The sequence below is a fragment of the Homo sapiens genome, chromosome 9 (genome assembly GCF_000001405.40).
Source record: "Homo sapiens chromosome 9, GRCh38.p14 Primary Assembly".
Classification (NCBI taxonomy): Eukaryota; Metazoa; Chordata; class Mammalia; order Primates; family Hominidae; genus Homo; species Homo sapiens.
This window is the reverse complement of record NC_000009.12, coordinates 33,100,609-33,114,875: the sequence shown is the minus strand read 5'-3', so window position 1 is coordinate 33,114,875 and position 14,267 is coordinate 33,100,609. Positions and strand designations below refer to the sequence as shown.

Sequence of the window (14,267 nt, the reverse complement as noted above, 5' to 3'; positions counted from 1 at the left end):
CGCAGTGGCACTAGAAGGATGGGTGGTGTGTGGAGCAACTTTCTTGAAAGATAAAGGACCTAACACTTTCTATGCACCACTTACTGTGTGCCAGGCAAGGCCAGGAATGTTTAAGTGGTCTGGGATCAGCCAGTTCTGCCTCTTAACTAACTTTGCTGTCCTGCTCTCCAGGCTTTCATTTTGGTCCTCATTCCTTTTCCTTGGACCAACACAGAATCCTCCACCCTGTTCTGGCTGCCTCTAGTCTTGTTCTCAGCCCTCCATTTGTTTTTTTCTGCCTTTTCCCACATGTTCTGAAGCCCTCCATTCGTATACTACTTTCCAGAGACTTCCCCATGGCTAAAAGCATTTTGGAAATACTGTATATTAGGCCCCTTTCAGATACTGGCAACCGTTTGTGGGATGCTCTGAGAAGGCCTCTGTGACTTAGCCTGGCCCTTTTCAGCCCATCACCTGCCACGTCCTACCCCAGACCCTTGTCACCAGTCCCCAGGAGCTTACGTTGCTCCCTGAGGGCACTAGGCTTGCTCTCACTTCCATGCCTTTGCCTGTGCCATCCTGGCTGCCCAAAATGCTATGGCAGATACCTGTTCATCCTCAACTGGGCTCTGCCTAGGCTTGCTCCAGCAGAGGTTACAAACTCTATGCTTCTTCCTCTGTGTCTCCAACCTCATCTTCCTCTTCTCACCTCCATCCTGGCCCTAAAGGCCCTATGTTTGAAGCATTCACACTGTATATTCTGTGGGGCACACGGCCCCAGTGTCTGGCACATGGTAGTCAACACCACAAACCGCAGAACCAGTTGTAAAAGGACATGGAGTCGGAATGTGAGTTTTAACCAGGGTCATGCTGGGCTGGGTTCTGGCATGATGCTGGGTTGTGGGCTGAGTGAGAACAGCAAGGGTGATGGTGGATGGAGCAACAGTCTTGCAGCCGGGGCTCTCAGGCCAAGTGTATGGCAGCTCTGTGATAATGACTTTCCCTTTACTCTTTGCAGATTAGTTTTTAGAGGCATGTCTATATCTCGCCCAAATGCTGTGGTCGGGAGGTGTCGCATGATCCGCCACTCAAGAGACAAGAAAAATGAACCCAATCCTCAGAGGTGCATTCTTTGTTTATTCATACTCCTTCCCCCTTTAGGATGAGGTAGGCTGCAGGTCCGAGGCTCTGGGCCTAGAGGGAAATTGAGGTGGTCAGGTTACAGTGGAGAGGGAGGAGGAAGTACGTGTGATGATTTCTTCTTAAGATTTTTGTTTTAAGACAATCTCCTTGTGCTCTTTTCCTTGTAGGTTTGACCGAATTGCACACACAAAGGAGACAATGCTCTCTGATGGTTTGAACTCACTCACCTACCAGGTGCTGGATGTACAGAGATACCCATTGTATACCCAAATCACAGTGGACATCGGGACACCGAGCTAGCGTTTTGGTACACGGATAAGAGACCTGAAATTAGCCAGGGACCTCTGCTGTGTGTCTCTGCCAATCTGCTGGGCTGGTCCCTCTCATTTTTACCAGTCTGAGTGACAGGTCCCCTTCGCTCATCATTCAGATGGCTTTCCAGATGACCAGGACGAGTGGGATATTTTGCCCCCAACTTGGCTCGGCATGTGAATTCTTAGCTCTGCAAGGTGTTTATGCCTTTGCGGGTTTCTTGATGTGTTCGCAGTGTCACCCCAGAGTCAGAACTGTACACATCCCAAAATTTGGTGGCCGTGGAACACATTCCCGGTGATAGAATTGCTAAATTGTCGTGAAATAGGTTAGAATTTTTCTTTAAATTATGGTTTTCTTATTCGTGAAAATTCGGAGAGTGCTGCTAAAATTGGATTGGTGTGATCTTTTTGGTAGTTGTAATTTAACAGAAAAACACAAAATTTCAACCATTCTTAATGTTACGTCCTCCCCCCACCCCCTTCTTTCAGTGGTATGCAACCACTGCAATCACTGTGCATATGTCTTTTCTTAGCAAAAGGATTTTAAAACTTGAGCCCTGGACCTTTTGTCCTATGTGTGTGGATTCCAGGGCAACTCTAGCATCAGAGCAAAAGCCTTGGGTTTCTCGCATTCAGTGGCCTATCTCCAGATTGTCTGATTTCTGAATGTAAAGTTGTTGTGTTTTTTTTTAAATAGTAGTTTGTAGTATTTTAAAGAAAGAACAGATCGAGTTCTAATTATGATCTAGCTTGATTTTGTGTTGATCCAAATTTGCATAGCTGTTTAATGTTAAGTCATGACAATTTATTTTTCTTGGCATGCTATGTAAACTTGAATTTCCTATGTATTTTTATTGTGGTGTTTTAAATATGGGGAGGGGTATTGAGCATTTTTTAGGGAGAAAAATAAATATATGCTGTAGTGGCCACAAATAGGCCTATGATTTAGCTGGCAGGCCAGGTTTTCTCAAGAGCAAAATCACCCTCTGGCCCCTTGGCAGGTAAGGCCTCCCGGTCAGCATTATCCTGCCAGACCTCGGGGAGGATACCTGGGAGACAGAAGCCTCTGCACCTACTGTGCAGAACTCTCCACTTCCCCAACCCTCCCCAGGTGGGCAGGGCGGAGGGAGCCTCAGCCTCCTTAGACTGACCCCTCAGGCCCCTAGGCTGGGGGGTTGTAAATAACAGCAGTCAGGTTGTTTACCAGCCCTTTGCACCTCCCCAGGCAGAGGGAGCCTCTGTTCTGGTGGGGGCCACCTCCCTCAGAGGCTCTGCTAGCCACACTCCGTGGCCCACCCTTTGTTACCAGTTCTTCCTCCTTCCTCTTTTCCCCTGCCTTTCTCATTCCTTCCTTCGTCTCCCTTTTTGTTCCTTTGCCTCTTGCCTGTCCCCTAAAACTTGACTGTGGCACTCAGGGTCAAACAGACTATCCATTCCCCAGCATGAATGTGCCTTTTAATTAGTGATCTAGAAAGAAGTTCAGCCGAACCCACACCCCAACTCCCTCCCAAGAACTTCGGTGCCTAAAGCCTCCTGTTCCACCTCAGGTTTTCACAGGTGCTCCCACCCCAGTTGAGGCTCCCACCCACAGGGCTGTCTGTCACAAACCCACCTCTGTTGGGAGCTATTGAGCCACCTGGGATGAGATGACACAAGGCACTCCTACCACTGAGCGCCTTTGCCAGGTCCAGCCTGGGCTCAGGTTCCAAGACTCAGCTGCCTAATCCCAGGGTTGAGCCTTGTGCTCGTGGCGGACCCCAAACCACTGCCCTCCTGGGTACCAGCCCTCAGTGTGGAGGCTGAGCTGGTGCCTGGCCCCAGTCTTATCTGTGCCTTTACTGCTTTGCGCATCTCAGATGCTAACTTGGTTCTTTTTCCAGAAGCCTTTGTATTGGTTAAAAATTATTTTCCATTGCAGAAGCAGCTGGACTATGCAAAAAGTATTTCTCTGTCAGTTCCCCACTCTATACCAAGGATATTATTAAAACTAGAAATGACTGCATTGAGAGGGAGTTGTGGGAAATAAGAAGAATGAAAGCCTCTCTTTCTGTCCGCAGATCCTGACTTTTCCAAAGTGCCTTAAAAGAAATCAGACAAATGCCCTGAGTGGTAACTTCTGTGTTATTTTACTCTTAAAACCAAACTCTACCTTTTCTTGTTGTTTTTTTTTTTTTTTTTTTTTTTTTTTTGGTTACCTTCTCATTCATGTCAAGTATGTGGTTCATTCTTAGAACCAAGGGAAATACTGCTCCCCCCATTTGCTGACGTAGTGCTCTCATGGGCTCACCTGGGCCCAAGGCACAGCCAGGGCACAGTTAGGCCTGGATGTTTGCCTGGTCCGTGAGATGCCGCGGGTCCTGTTTCCTTACTGGGGATTTCAGGGCTGGGGGTTCAGGGAGCATTTCCTTTTCCTGGGAGTTATGACCGCGAAGTTGTCATGTGCCGTGCCCTTTTCTGTTTCTGTGTATCCTATTGCTGGTGACTCTGTGTGAACTGGCCTTTGGGAAAGATCAGAGAGGGCAGAGGTGGCACAGGACAGTAAAGGAGATGCTGTGCTGGCCTTCAGCCTGGACAGGGTCTCTGCTGACTGCCAGGGGCGGGGGCTCTGCATAGCCAGGATGACGGCTTTCATGTCCCAGAGACCTGTTGTGCTGTGTATTTTGATTTCCTGTGTATGCAAATGTGTGTATTTACCATTGTGTAGGGGGCTGTGTCTGATCTTGGTGTTCAAAACAGAACTGTATTTTTGCCTTTAAAATTAAATAATATAACGTGAATAAATGACCCTATCTTTGTAACTGCAGGTGGTTTCTGTTTGCCAGGTGTAAGGGTTGTCATGGCTGTGGGATGGGGTGGGGACAGGGTCATTCCCTGGTCTGTGACCCATACAAATACACATGCCTCCCTGGAATCAGACATTTCCCCATCTGAACTTCATTCTCTTATCTGTAAAATGGGAATAATAACACATAGGGACTTTTTTGAGGCTTAAAAGTGACGATATATGTAAAACAATGACTAATGCCTCACAAGTACTCACTACATAGTAGCTAGTGCCATTTCAAAGTAGAATTTTTTTCCCCTAGCAGTTCTTGGGCCACATTCTGCTATTTTCAACAGATACCAGGATCATTCAGATGTAGATCTCAGGGCCATTTGCACCAGGTGCTCACAGTGTAACTTGAAGGGAATTATCCAAAATGAGGTTTCTTGTCAGTCTCAGGAAATGTAACCATAAGCTCTAAAAGGTCTTAGTTTTTACCCAGGTGCCTCCTCCTTGGTGGCCCTGGGTCAGGCTGGTTGGATTGAATTGGCACTCCTGAAGAAGGGCTGCAGGAAACCAGTGAGCAGGAGAGCCACCCTTGGCAGGGAGCTGCAGGCCCTGCCTGCATGTCACTGCTGGAGGGATCCCTGGTGACCTCAGGCCTGTGCAAAGGTGGCCTGGGGTTCAGATCTGGCCTTCAAACAGGACAACTCTGGTCCTTTGGACAAAATGCTGCCTTAGAGGGTCTGACAAAATTAAAAACAAACAAAAAAAAACCTGTTTCTTTCCTTCTCACACACCACCACTCACAACACTTCAGTTCTGCCCCTAGATATGTAGGGATTTCTCCCCACCAACAAGCAGTTTTCTAGTGGACACTAGCTGGGTGTCCTACAGTTTAACTCAATTCTGACACTGTCTGCCTGGAGATAGCAACGGATCCCACAGGTTGAGGGCTCAGTCTCACAAGACTGCCTCCACTGCAGATGCCAGTCACAAGTAGTTGGTTGTGACCTATGCTTTACAAAAATGTTTTTTGGATACAGGGCCTTGCTGTGTCACCCAGGCTGGCCTGAAACTCCTGGGCTCACACAATCCTCCCGCCACAACTTAGAAGTAGCTGAGCTGCAGGTTTATACCACTCACCCAGCTATAGTTGTGACCTATACTTCTGACCAACCAGCTATAAATTGGGGTTTCTATGAGCCTCTTCTTGGGTTTAATTTGCTAGGTCAGCTTACAGAACTCAGTGTAACACTTAACATTTACTGGTCTTATTATAAGTGATATTAGAAAGGATACTGATGAAGAACCGGATGGAGAGATGCATAGGGCAAGGCATGGGGGAGGGGGAGAGAAGCTTCCATGCCCTCTCCAGGGGCTCCACCCTCCAGACACCTCCACGTGTTCAGCTATCTGGAAGCTCATCTGACCCTGTCCTTCTGGTTTTTATGGAAGCTTCATCACATAGGCCTGATAGACTACATCATCGGCCATTGCCAGTCAGCTCAACCTTCAGCCCTTTTCCCCTTCCTGAAGGATGGGAGTGGGACTGAAAGTGCCAACCTTCTCATCATGGCTTGGTCTTTCTGGTGACCAGTCCCCATCCAGGAGTTCACTGAGAATCATTTCATTAAAACAAAAGACGTTCCTATCACCCGGGAAATTCCAAGGGATTAGAAGCTCTGTCAGGAACCAGGGTCAAGCACCAAATATTAGAACAAAAGATTCTCCTAGCATAAATATTAGAACAAAAGATTCTCCTAGCATAAATATTAGAACAAAAAATTCTCCTATTGCTCAGGAAATTATAAGAGTTTTAGGGGCTCTGTACCAGGAACCCAGCGCAGAGGCCAAATATATATATTTTATTATCTCACAGTGCCACACAGGACTTTGCAAGCTGTCAGGTCTGAGTGAGATGGAGCACACCAGTGAAAGGTTAAGTTCACCCTTTCACTGATGTGCTCCACTTCACTGAGACACATATCCACACAGACACACAGAGACACACACATCCACCCAGACGCACGCATCCACCCACACACCTCCACACATGCCTACACACTAACATGCATAACACAGCTGACATATGCCTATGAGAGGTCAGAATACCTGGATTCAAATCCTGCCACTGCCTCTTATTCTGTGACCATGAGCAAATGACTTGGCCTCTCTGTGCCTCAGTTTCTCACAAAATGCCTTTCAGAATTTTTTTTTTTTTTTTTAGAGACAGAGTTTCAATATGTTGACCAGGCTGGTCTCAAACTCCCGGCTTCAAGCAATCCTCTTGCCTCAGTCTCCCAAAGTGCTGGGATTGCAGGTGTGAGCCACTGCACCTGGCCCCTAATTTTTCTATTATTTGTTTGTTTTTTAGAGACAGGGATCTCACTATGTTGCCCAGGCTGGATTCAAACTCCTGGGCTTAAGTAATCCTGCCTCAGTTTCTGGTTCTGTGTAATGGGAGTTATAACAGAACCTATTTCATAGGGCTGTTATGAAGATTAAGTGAGTTAATACCATACTTATGAAGCACTTAGAACATGCCTGGCTCATAATAAGCACGACAAGTGTTACGCTTGTTTAATTGTTTGAAATTCACGTGGGCATATGTGTTGACATATACAGACTGCCATGTACATATTGCACAGATATACATATGCACACACTCAGGTGCTGGGGATCTTCCCTTTTCCTCTTCTGGGGCACACGTCTTGAACTTTGCTATGTGGCAGCTGGGTGAGTAAACCTCAGGGCGAGTGACTGCTGCTATTCTGGAGACACCCAGGACCTCACCAACAGTGTTTCCCCCACCCTTCCACTCCCCACCTGAGTGAAGGTGTTTAGGATGGCAGCCTTGGGGAGGGAAAGAGGTTTAACCCCCTCCCCATGGGCTCCAAGGGACCAGGGAGGGAGGAAGGAGGAAGAGGGCCAAGGACAGGCTCCTAGGCTCAGCCATTTCCTCAAGAAATGCTCTGTTTCTAGTCTCATACAGGACCCAGAACAACCAAGTCTGAGCCAAGCAGAGCCCCTTAATCATGAGAGTAATCACCAGATCCCCCACATACCACCTCTTTTCCATGGGAGAACGTGGCCCAGGTGCCAAATCACTGGCCTACAGCTGTTCTTTGGAGGCAGGGCCAAGGGGCCCAAGGAGGCGGCTGCCCCTGGGGGTGAATGAGTGGCGCCTCCCTGGGCGAGACATGTTTGCTGCTCTCGACTGAGGCCAGCTGTGTGGGGGTGGGGGGAGAGGGGAGGGAATGAGGATGATCACATTGACCACATTCTGAAGGTTACCAAGTTTCTGCCACATATCCAGGCTCCTTCCCTCTTGTTTCTTCCAGGAGGTGGGATTTCAGACATTCCTAAGGGCTGGTTTCTTCTTAGAACTGGAACTTCTTACCATGCCAGAAAGGAAATGAGGTTTGTCTGGCTGAGCCGGTCATGGCAGGCAAGCCTCATTTCCGTCTTTGGCAGTGTCCCCAGGCAGGGAATGTGGCTACTGCCTTTTTCTGGGCTTCAGGACCTGTACCCAGGCTGTGAGGCAGAGGAACCCCAGGTGCAGAGGAGGTTGTTATGAGTGACAGGGTCAATAGACTGGAAACCAGAGGAACATGACACCCCAAGGACATTTGCCCTGCAGCGAGATGTGTTCCAGGGTCACCAAGAGTAGAGAGAGGGCACAATGATATCACGGTGTATTTGGGGAGAGTGAGTGCCAGGTCACCAGGCAGGGAGCCTGGAAAGACAAGCCAGGAGGAAGCCATACAATGACCATTACGTGTGGCTGTCTCTGACTCCCCACTTGCTGTGTGATGCTGGGCAAGTTGGTTCCCCTCTCTGTGTCTCTGTGTCTTCTGTAGGAAGTGCCCTGCTGTTGACTTTTCCTCTTGCCCTGCGACTAACCTTCTCTGTCTTCTTGAGGGAAGTCCATTTATTTCTGGGTCATCATTTGTAAAAGCAGCAGGATCACCCCTTCCTGCTCTCCTCCCTCCCTGCCTCCCTCCCAGGGCTTCCTGGAGCATCACGGGGTAAGCTATTAAAGTTCTACCTGGTGAGGGAGGGCTGGCATGGCGTTGGAGACATCTCCCTCTTGTGCCCAATGCCATCCACGCTCCATTGCTGTCCCTCAGAAGTGCTTCTTTGTCTCCATCCTTCCTCTCACCTGCTCTTCCTTAACTTCCAAAACTCAGGCTTCCTGATCATCCCCTACCAAGCTCAGCAGGGTCAAGAGTACCCAGGGGCCTGAGGGAGAAGCACAGGGATGCGGACAGGGTGGCTGTACCTCTGCTCAGCTCCCAGGAGTAAGAAATAGGGTTAAGAGGAGCGTGGGAGCAAACTCCCTACCCAGGCTTCTTTCAGCTGGGCCATCTGTCCTTTGACAAAGGGATCTAGGATTTCCTGACCTTAAGAAGGCTCCCTTAAGTGGAAATGCAGATAAAAATCACAAAGAGATACACCAATTTGGATGGTTATTATTTTAAAAACCAGAAACACAAAATAAGTGTTGGCAAAGATATGCAGAAATTGGATCTGATGTTAGTCATTGTTGATTCAGGGTAAAAGAAAAGAAGAAATTGGAATACTTGTGCATTGCTGGTAGGAATGTAAAATGGTGGAACCCCTATGGAAAATGGTATGGAAATTCCTCCAAAAATTAAACATGGAATTACCATAGAATGCAACAAGTCCATTTTTAGCTATATACCCAAAAGAAATAAAAACAGGAGCCTGAGCAGATACTAGTTCCTAGCACTATTATTCACAGTAGCCAAAAAAAAAAAAAAAAAAAAAACCCACGAGTCCATTGATGGATAAACAAAAGGCGGTATATACATACAATGGAATATCGGTCAGCCTTAAAAGGGGAGGAAATTCTGACATATACTACAACTCAGATGAACCTTGAAGATATTATGCTAACCGAAATAAGTCAGTCACAAAAGGACAAATATCATATGATTGCACTTAGACGAGTCAGCTAAAATAGTCAAACTCACAGAGACAGAAGGCAGAATGGTGGTTGTCAGGGGCATGGGGAAGGGAAGGGGAATGGGGAGTTATTGTTTAATGAGTACAGAGTTTTAGTTGGGGAAGATGAAAAAGTTCTGGAAATGGATGGTGGTGGTGCAACAATATGAATGTACTTTATGCCACAGAACTTTACATTGGCACTCTGCCCCCGATGACTGACTTTTCAGTTGCTACCTGTTCCCATTTAAAAATGGTTAAAATGGGCCGGCTTGGTGGCTCATGTCTGTAATCCTAGCACTTTGGGAGGCTGAGGCGGGAGGATCACCTGAGGTTGGGAGTTCTCGAGACCAGCCTGACCAACATGGAGAAACCCTGTCTCTACTAAAAATACAAAATTAGCCAGGCGTGGTGGTGCATGCCTGTAATCCCAGCTACTAGGGAGGCTGAGGCAGGAGAATCTCTTGAACCTGGAAGGCGGAGGTTGTGGTGAGCCGAGATTGGGCCATTGCATTCCAGCCTGGGCAACAAGAGTGAAACTCCATCTCAAAATAAATAAATAAATAAGGTTAAAATGTGGAGGCCGGGCGCAGTGAGTGGCTCACGCCAGTAATCCCAGCACTTTGGGAGGCCAAGGTGGGCGGATCACTTGAGGTCAGGAGTTTGAGACCAGCCTGGCCAACACAGTGAAACCCCGTCTCTACTAAAAATACAAAAATTAGCTGGGCGTGGTGGCACATGCCTGTAATCCCAGGCACTCAGGAGGCTGAGGCAGGAGAATTGTTTGAACCCAAGAGGTGGAAGTTGCAGTTCATTTACTTAGCACGTCACTGCACTCCAGCCTGGGCAACAGAGTGAGACTGTCTCAAAAAAAAAAAAAAAGGTAAAATGATGCATTTTCTGTTATGTGTATTTTACCACAGTATGAAAAAATAAGAAGACTCCTGTGGTGAAGGCTTCGCCTGGTCTGTTCTGCTCTGGAGGTGGCAGCGCATGGTGGTTAGTCCCAGCATCTTCCTGGAGATTTGAGCGTGAGACGTGCTGGCTGTGTGGGCTGTGCCACCTGAGGAGGATTGGCCAGTCATAAGGACTCAGCCTGGTTGCTGAATCCAGCTGGGGACCTTGACCCCAGTGACTGGCTTTTCAGCGGCTACCTGTTCTCGAGACAAATGCTGTCCTCCCCTAAGGAGTCTGGGCTGTGGCAAAGCTATGACATAGGTACAACCGTCCTTTTGCCAGGTGGGGCTTAGGTGGAGAAGTTGAAGCCTGGACTCAGTCAAGATCTCAGGACTGGGAGCAAGGAGCCTCTTACTCCCAGGGTGCCCACTTGGTTCCCACTGACTGTTGGTGGAAACTAGGGGCTGAGCTGGAGGCTTTTTAGAGGAAGAAATGACAAGCTGGGGGCTGGATTATCCCTGGGGGTGAAAATGGAGTCAGCTAGATAGGTTATGTCTTGAAGGAGAGGAGGGTCCCCTGGTGTCAGGAAGCAGAGCCTGAACTCCATGTTAGACCCTGGATTGGAGAGTGGGCAGGACACTTGGGAGAGACAGGACTTGGTACTGGCGAGGGTACTACCACACCCATTCTGGGAGTGGACTATAGAGAAATAAATCCTAAAAGTGGACCTATCTTTTGACCTCACAAGTCAACTTCTAGGAATTCATCCTAAGAAAACAAAGTCACACCCCAAGATGTATGTGCGTCAGTGTTCGCCCTAGTGCTGTTTGTAGCCCTGGAAAATGAGAAGCCACCGTCAACGGGGGACTGTGCTAAGTAAAATGAAGTACATCCAAACAATCAAGTACTATGCAACCATTGAGAATGATGAAGTGGATCTATATTTATCGATTGGAAAGAGGCCTAAGGAAACAAAGGAAACTACAGAATGGTCTTTCCATATGAGGCAGGGAAATGTATGAATAATTTAGTGCAGAAATTACTCTGTAATTGTTTCTGGGAGCAGATGCATGAGCAAAAAATTGAAGATGATTTTCCTTCTCTACATAGCCTGGGGCCAGGCCCCTGTTCTAAGCGTCCCCGCCCCACCCTGGGCTGAGGCCTTTGTTCAGAATGTTGGCCCTGTTGAGAGGACATGCTGGGTTGTCTTCTGGGAGGAGTTGCATTCCCCATAAGTCCCCCAGTCTTGGAAGGGTGATGCAGGGTTCCTCCCCTGGGGGAATGGTGGAGGCCTGAACTCTGTTCACAGGTGGTGGGAAATGGCATGGCTGTAGGAAGGTCTGAGAAGGCAGAATGGGAGCTCAACACAGGCTGGGGGGGCTTCTGGCAATTCTCTCAGGTTTAGAAAAATAGTTACAACATTTCTTGCCACTCTTTTGTGAGGGCAATTGAACTGTCAAGCCTCAAGACACTAAAGAATGGAAAGAATGCGGTAGGAGAGGAACACTGTCTTGGCTCTGGAGGGGCGAGATTCGCCTCTTGTGCCTGATCAGAGCTCGACAAGGGGGACCCCTTTTCTAGTAGATCTTTGACTCCAGAATCTAGGAGCCCTGTTGCAGAGGGAGGCCCTGACATCTGGATTTTGACACAGACCTGAGCCTGGAGCTGTTGGAAACTCATTTCTGGGACAGATGTGGAATGCTGGACAATCAAACGTCGCCGGGGCCTTTGGAGTGCTCCCTGTGTCCTGTTGCGGTGGCCACAGTGACTTTGGTCTCCCCTGATGACAGAAGCACAGGAGAAAGGCCAGCTCCATGGCCCAGCTCTTAGTTCCCACCTTCCTCCAAGGCGGGCCTGTGGGGCAGGGAGGGTGCAGGTGGACTCGTGAACCCCTCACCCGTGTTCACCCTCCATGAGCACACTCGGCGCTTTCCCACGTACCGTGTGTTGCTCCTTACAATAATTCCAGCATGGGAAACTTAGGCTCAGGGAGCTCACATGACTTGCACAAGGTCACACAGAGTTTGGGTCTGACACAGACCTCCTGAGTCCCAGGCTAGGGCTCTGGCCACTGGACCATGACCCAGCTCCTCATCCACACAGTGTGGGAGCAGGGCGATGGAGGCTGTGAGGTTCCTTGCCCCAGCCAGGGAAGCTGTGGCCTCAGCAGCACTGCCGAGAGAAGTACAGCCTGGATCCAGGGCTGGAGCCAAGAGCACCTTTGGGATGAGATTGTTTGTGTTTTGTTTTGTTTTCCCTTTACTGTTTTAGAGGACTTAGGAACCTAGTAAACTTGACAGCGACAGTTCCGTATACCAGGGGCATTGCATTGGTGTCACCACGGTCTGGGAGATGTACAGGAATGGTTAACACTGAAACAATCCATGAGGATGCAAGGAGGCCTGAGGCGTGGGGAAGAGGGAAGAAGGGAGACTCCTGAGGGCTGGGGATGCAAGTGGACCTGAAGACATGGGGTTTTCTGCCTCTGAGGCATCACTCTGGGCAGCAACAACCAGTTCCTGCTTCATGGACAACACAGCTTCTTAATCCTCCTGGACCTGCCCTGCCTGGGCCAACACCTGGTGCTCAGGAGGGCTCAGCACAGTGTCTGTCTGAAGACTGCGGGGACCCAGAAGTCCAGGTGGAGACCTAGGATTCCCCAATAAGGCCTAGATGCCTGCTTAGTTCTCCCTTTCTCTTCTGGGCACCTTTCCTCCCCGACTGTACACCCTCTTCCCAAGGGAGAGCAATTGCCACACTATTCCAAGACCCCCCTGTAAGTTCTCAGCCAAAGGCATTTTCCTAAGCAAAGCCAGGGGCTGTGGTTTGTTTTGATGACAAGCTGAATCAAGACTGCTAAAAAGCAGGCTGTTGGGTTTAACTTCATCAACTCCAAGCCTCAATGATTTGTGTTCCATGTGGTTTGCTCTGGATAGACACTGACCTAGTGACAATGAGACTATGGAATGGGGAGAGAAGAATTGCATGCTGAGGACAGGAGAAATCTTCCCCATGAACAATTTGTCTGTTGGGCATGACATCTCATATGTCAGCTTGGGCCATTCCTACCAGCTTGGAATGCTCTGTGTCTGACTCAGATGCTGTGTGTGTCTCAAGGGCGCTGGGCTTGGTGGCCTCTGTGAATTTGGCTGGCAGATCTTGGCCCTGCTGGCTCCCAGGATCCATGGGCACTCTTCCTGTCTTGGGTCTACCCTGTCGTGCAGGTTCACTGCCCACAACCTCCGGGAGACTGTTCCAAGGGTTTTCTTTGTGGGAGACAAGGCCTGCCAGGCCTTTCCCTGGCCCCTCTCCAACCCTGATGTCAGTACACATCCTAGCATACTGCTGGGAATGCCTCAATTTGAGGGAGTGCAATTAGTTGAGGGAACTGAGGAAGTGCTGTAATGGGAGTCTAGGGTTGACCCCTGGGTGACCAAGGCCAGAATGTCAAAGGCGTTTGAACCAGAGCAACTCCATCTTGAACTGGGGCTGGGTGAAATAAGGCTGAAACCTACTGGGCTGCATTCCCAGAAGGTTAGGCATTCTTAGTCACAGGATGAGACTGAAGGTTGGCATAGGATACAGGTCACAGACCGGGCGTGGTGGCTCACACTTGTAATCCCAGCACTCTGGGAGGCCGAGGCGGGTGGATCACTGGAGGTTAGGAGTTTGAGACCGGTCTGGCCAACATGGCGAAATGCCATCTCTACTAAAAATACAAAAATTAGGCATGGTGGTAGGCGCCTGTAATACCAGCTACTCGGGAGGCTGAGACAGGAGAATCGCTTGAACCTGGGAGGTGGAGGTTGCAGTGAGCCGAGATCACACCATTGCACTCCAGCCTGGGCAACAAGAGTGAAACTCCGTCTCAAAAAAAAAAAAAAAAAGATACAGGTCACAAAGACCCTGCTGATAAAACAGGATGCTGTAAAGAAGCCAACCAAAACCCACCAAAACCAAGATGGTGATGAAAGTGACCTCTGGTGTCCTTACCACTCACTATATGCTAATTATAATGCATTCGCATGCTAAAAGACACTCCCATTCCCATCAGTGCCACGACAGTTTAAAAATGCCATGGCAATGTCTGGAAGTTACCCTATACGGTCTAAAAAGGGGAGGAACCATCAGTTCTGGGGGAAATCCCCACCCCTTTCCCAGAAAACTCACGAATAATTCACCTCTTGTTTAGCATATAA

The 14,267-nt window shown here is 48.8% G+C and overlaps 1 protein-coding gene and 1 non-coding gene across 7 annotated transcripts in view, besides 2 other annotated features; one reads left to right on the top strand and one right to left on the bottom strand.

Moving 5' to 3' along the window:
• B4GALT1 (beta-1,4-galactosyltransferase 1) overlaps positions 1 to 10,799 on the top strand; it is an 81,013-nt gene extending 70,214 nt beyond the window's left edge. For 5 of the 6 annotated variants that reach the window (XM_047423231.1, NM_001378496.1, NM_001497.4 and 2 more), the window contains 2 exons: positions 998 to 1,102; positions 1,290 to 4,234. In XM_047423231.1, coding sequence (XP_047279187.1) covers positions 998 to 1,102; positions 1,290 to 1,422 — 238 coding nt within the window. In that variant the 3' untranslated portion in view covers positions 1,423 to 4,234. Of the gene's footprint in view, positions 1 to 997; positions 1,103 to 1,289; positions 4,235 to 10,094 lie in introns of those variants that run through there. The other variant, NM_001378497.1, reaches the window with a different exon arrangement.
• Positions 2,686 to 3,285: an enhancer, noted in NCBI's record as "H3K27ac-H3K4me1 hESC enhancer chr9:33111589-33112188 (GRCh37/hg19 assembly coordinates)". NCBI's record gives its function as "activates a minimal SCP1, AML or CMV promoter by ChIP-STARR-seq in primed H9 embryonic stem cells {active_cell/tissue: H9 hESC(primed)}" and the evidence as "EXISTENCE:reporter gene assay evidence [ECO:0000049][PMID:30033119]".
• MIR12117 (microRNA 12117) lies at positions 6,111 to 6,184 on the bottom strand. The gene has a single exon (NR_162131.1). It is a non-coding gene; the product is annotated as a microRNA 12117 (primary transcript).
• Positions 7,007 to 7,186: an enhancer, noted in NCBI's record as "active region_28272". NCBI's record gives its function as "activates an Ori minimal core promoter by ATAC-STARR-seq in GM12878 lymphoblastoid cells {active_cell/tissue: GM12878}" and the evidence as "EXISTENCE:reporter gene assay evidence [ECO:0000049][PMID:35858748]".